Below are 5,557 nucleotides of genomic sequence, written 5' to 3'. Positions count from 1 at the left end.
GACTCAGAGTTTCCGGAACCCTGGGGGTGGCCAGTGCCAGCTTTGTTAGGTCACGAATGGCTTCTCCCAGGCTTCTCTCCTCCCGGCCCCTCCTGCGATGCGCTGGGCCTGGTCACCTGCACCTGCTCAGGGACAGGAACCCCCCCTTGCCTCTCCCTCATAACCTGTTCTCCTTCAGGAAGTGAGCATTCTGAGGCTTCCCATAAACACACACACACACACACACACACACACACACACACTCTTGCACACACATAGACACATGCACACACGGAGGCACACACATGTACACACACGTGCACACACACATGCATGCGCGCGCACACGCATGCACACATGCTGCCCGTCATCCTCATGTTCTTCTGACTGTAGCCTCATGCCTCCTGCCTGCCGACAGGTCGGGGTGTTTGTCTCCACGGAAAGGACTGCCCGGGCTTGCTGCCTCCACGTCCTCCCTGACTCCTCCTATTAGGGTCTGGCCTCCCCGACCTCCTCCACTGGCCAGTAGCATCCATGGCTCTGTTTCTGGTGTCATGACTTTGCTTTGGGGTAGAGCAAACAGTTCTTCAGGGGTGTCCCCAAGTGCAGTGCCCAAGCCCCTGAAGGCGGCGATTGGGAGGGGTTCGCTCCTTCTCCGGGCCAGCCTTGCTCTTCTCTGTCCTGGAAGTCACTGGCACCCACCGGTTGCCTGGGAGGCAAGTCCTTCCTTCCTCTGCCTCACTGCCCAGAGTCCCAGTGAGGAAAGCCTGGTCCTACTCGCCAGGGTTGGTGGGCAGCTGCCCAGGACCCCTGGCTCCCCAGGTCACCCCATTTCCCCAGGGGGTTGTCTTGGAAGAGGCTCTGGCCATCCTGAACCGTCATCCTCCTTCAGCCACGTGACTGCGTCAAGGACCCGCCCACCTTCCTCCCGTCGTGATGGTGATATTTCAGGGCCCTCACTGCCCTTCCTGGCCACCTAGTCTTCAATGACTTTATCCAACCACGTGACTTCAATGTCCATCCACAGAAAATGACTCACACATTTACGCAGTGGCGGTGTTCACCCCTCTCTGTCTTGGAGTGTGCGACTCACCACACCTCTCCCCAAAGAACGGATACCTGCGGACCTGCGCCGCCTGTGGGGTGTCCAGGGGTCCTCGGGGGCTTCTGAGTGTTTGGGGTGTGTCGCTGGCAGGAGTCCTGATCCGGGGTCAGAAGGGGGTCTCCATGTCCAGGCTCCTCTGGCAGGGGCTGTCCTGAATGCAGTGCTAGGGGTGTCCCCCAGGCTGACACCATGCCTTGGCCCTCAGGTGGAGCCCCTCACTCGAGTCCTTCCCAAGTCTGTGGCCCCGGGACCTCCCCAGGATGCAGCTGGGATGGGTCTCCATACCCCAAGGCTAGAGCCCCTTCTCATCCCGTGTCCTATCCTGCTCCATTTTCTCAGAGTCAGTATTAGTACAGCGCTTTTTGCTGCAATTGTCAGAGACTCAGCCTGACCTTAGGCCAAATGCGAATGTGCTGTCTCACATGACTGAGAAATCTCACGTCTGCTTAAGGTAGGCGGGGGCCAGGTGCTGGCACGGCGCTGTCAGGAACGCCTCCCTGACCCCTGGTTCTGCTTGCCTGTTGTTCATCCATTCTCAGGGTCCTCCCTAAATGCACTTCTAAATCCCCCCACCTGGCCGACTCTTAACTGACACCACCAAACTCAGCCTCTACGAAAATTAGTTCTTCTGGAAAACCCTCCAGATCCCTCTTCAACCCTGGCTGATCAGGTGCCCTCCACTGCTCAAGCCATGCAGTGGCATGATCATGGCTCACTGCAGCCTCCAACTCTTGGCCTCAAGTGATCCTCCTGCCTCAGCCTCCCGAGTGTCTGGGACTACCGGTGAACACCCACCACGCCTGGATAATTATTCTTAATATTTTTTTTGTAGAGATGGGGTCTCACTATGTTGCCCAGGCTGGTCCCAAACTCCTAGCCTCAAGCCATCCCCCTGCCTTGGCCTCCTGAAGCTCTTGGATTACAGGCGTGAGCCACCACACCTGATGGACTGGACCTCATTCTTGACTCCTCACCCTCACTCCTTTCCAGCTGCCTTGAAGCTCTGGGAACTCTGCCTCCTAAACATTTATTGAGCCCATTCTCTTCTCTGAATCCCATTGCTACCCCAAGTAGAGTTCATTCCCATTTCTTGCCACCCCCCCCAACCCCCACACCTACACCATCCATTCTCCACACTGTTGCCAGAGGTAACTAAAAAAATAAATCTAATTATGGACTGGCATTGTCAAGAGCACTTGCTAGGGTGCTGTTGTGTAGCATCGTTTTTCAGGAGGTGGTTACACTGGTGTATATATATGTCTCACTTAAGATCTCTGAATTTTATGTATATTACACCTTCTCCCCTTTCTCTACACACACAAATACATGCGTATATGAAATTAGACTATGTCAATTTCTTGCATCCAAATCTTCCATGGCTGCTCATTCATAAGCCCCAAGGCCTTCATGTGGCTGTCCAGCCTCATGTGACCTTTTCTTCTCCGGCCCACACTGGCCTTGGCTTCACCCACACTCCCTCCAGGACTTTGCCTGCTGCCCTCTCTCCCTGGAATGCTCTTTCTTCCTCTGCTCTTCTAGATAACTCTTTCTGGCTTTTCATGTCTCAAGTTAATCATCCCTTTCTCAAGGAAACCTTTCCTGAGTCCCTGTCACATGCTCTTGTAGCATTAAATGCACCCCCAGTAGCACTTTGCAGGTTGTAATTTTTTCATTTCATGTAGATGATTGTTCTAATGCTGCTTTCTCCTAGATTGTAAGACAAAGAGGGCATTTTGTTTTATTTATGAATGTGTTATTTACCACTGTACATACCTGGCACATAGTAGGCACAACTGTGTGTTGCATGGCTGTGTTCATTTCTATCATGGCTCTTATGACATTGCACCTTGTGTATTGATTGAATGGTGGCTTCCCCCTTTAGCCTGCTGGTCCTGCGAGGGCATGGACAATGTCTTAGTCACCTCTGGAGCCCTGGTGCCCACTGCAGGCCTGGATGGTGGCTGGGACTCAGTACAAGTTTACTGGTGAATAATCAAAAGAATCACAAAGTGACATTGATGGCAAAAACTGGTTACGGACAGAGCCCACCTATGTTCTTGACTCATTTTGGCCACATCCAATGTTCTCTTGCTAAAGAAACATGGACATTCTCAAATCTCTTCTGAGAGCCATGCAAAAGCCACATGGCATGGCAGGCTTGAGCTTAATGGCATTTGTGGTGTCTTTTCCCATTTATTGTGTGTGGGATGAATATTTGGATCTCAGTTTACCTATCCTAAAGGCCTGTTTGGTAATAAAAATGAAATAAAAGCCTCACAGAGTTACCAAACAGCAGTGAAGAGTGTTTTTCATTAGTAGATAGTTCTATTTCAAGAGCTTCAAATTCATTATGTCTTTTAATCCTTGCAACAGTTCTATAAGATGGATATAATTATTAACATTGCCATTTGATATAAGATGAAATTGAGCATAGATGCATTAAATATCTTGTGCAAAAATCACATAACTTAAGAATTGGCCATGCTATCAACACTGCTGCAGGATTCAGGAGTTTTCCAGGTAGGGCCTGACATTTAGGCTTCTAGTTAGTACAAAAGCAGAGTTTACTTCACCACTTGCTTCAAGCTACAAGAATCACCTCTACAATAGAGTTTTTGACTATTCTTGGTTGCATGCAAGATTTGACCATTATTTTTCCCTTTTTATTCTCTATCATCATTATCATCATCAGTATGGTTTTTATCATCTTCATTGTCATCATCATTGACCGCCTGCTAAGACATGAGCTTGGATGCTGGAAATATAAGAAGGTATATTGGTATGGTCACATTATCTAAAAGTAGTCCATCTGGAAGGGAGCACATAGATCCTTTCGCCGAAGCCCTCGACTTTTCTAGATAACAGAACGAGGTTCAGAGAAGAAAAGAGGGCATCAGTAGTCAGATATCAAGGTCAGGATTGGAACTGAAGCCTCTGATCTGATATTAGTGCTCCTTCATCTGCATCATGTTACCTGCCTGTGATGGTCAGTTGTATGTGTCAGTTTGGCTAGGCTGTAGTACCTGGGAATTTAATTAAACATGAGTCAAGATGTTGCTGTGAAGGTATTTTACAGATGTGGTAAACATCTATAATGAGTTGACTTTAAATTAAGGAAATTGCTCACAGTATTGTGAGTAAGGCTGAAGTCTTGAGGCAGAAATGTTTCCTTTTCAGGAAACCTCAATTTTTGCCAGCCCTTCAACAGATTGGAGGCCTTACAAAAATTGAGGTTTCCTGAAAAACAAATTTCTGCCTCAAAGGAGGCCTTAAAAAATTGAGGTTTCCTGAAAAAGAAACATTTCTGCCTCAAGATTGTTGCATCGACTACTCCCTGATCTTCCAGCCTGGAAGCCTGCCCTACAGATTTTGGACTTGCCAGCTAACGTGATCATATGAGCCAGTTCAATTCCTTAAAATAAATCTCCTAATTATCTGTTATCTATCTATCTACCTACCTATCATTTATCATCTATCTACCTATCCATCATCTATCATCCATCTATATATCTGTTATCTACTCATCATCTATTATCTATCTACAGCCTATCTATCTACCTATCTATCCATCAATTATCTATTATCTATTAATCATCTATCTATCATCTATCTTTCACCTATGTATATCATCTATCTAGCATCTAATATTCAATTAACTATTATCTATCAATTATCCATCTATCTATCAATTATCTATCCCTCAATTAACTACTATCTATCAATCATCTATCTTTCTACAATCTATCAATCTATCCATCCCACTGGGCTTTCTTCTCTGGAGAACCCTAGTTGATATACTGCCCTAAGTGACTTATATGGCATAAGTAACTTTTTGTTTACAAGTAACATTTTGTTTACAAATACAACATATTTAAATTTAAAGGAAATACATAAAATAATAAAAAAAATCCAAAAAACTATTTCTACCTACTAAGAATGACCAAGGAAAAGGTGAAAGCAGTCTAATAGGACAGTGGACAGATCAGCTGGGAGATGTCAGCTTATGGTATCAAGAGAACCTGAGTTTCTTTAGTGAAGATACAAAGAATGCTTATGTTCTCAAATATTTATTCTCTACTTTTGTCTTCCTAATGGACCCTGATATTTTGTGGAGGAGGGGCAGGTACAGCAATAGGGTCAGCCAAAAGCTATCTTCCTCAGCCTCTATTTTGGCTAGGAGTGGTCCAATGATAAAATTTCTCCCAATATAAGCAGAACTTCTTAGGTGGAACATCAGGAGAGATTTTTAGGAAGAGTATTTCCAGCTGGGACACACAGTTTTGCCTTTTTTTCTCCTTCTCTTCCTACCTAGGACATGGGCACTATGACTGAGGCCTCAGCAAACATTTAGGATCATAAGGGAAAAGACCAATCTAATGAGAGAAGACTTGCCCCTGACACCATGGGACACTGAGCCAATACCAGCAGTTACTATGCCTGGACTTCTCATCAGATGACAAAAACAAACCCTTT

The sequence above is a fragment of the Homo sapiens genome, chromosome 8, assembly GCF_000001405.40.
Source record: "Homo sapiens chromosome 8, GRCh38.p14 Primary Assembly".
Taxonomy (NCBI): Eukaryota; Metazoa; Chordata; class Mammalia; order Primates; family Hominidae; genus Homo; species Homo sapiens.
The sequence above is the reverse complement of the archived record's forward strand: the minus strand, read 5'-3'. Positions refer to the sequence as shown.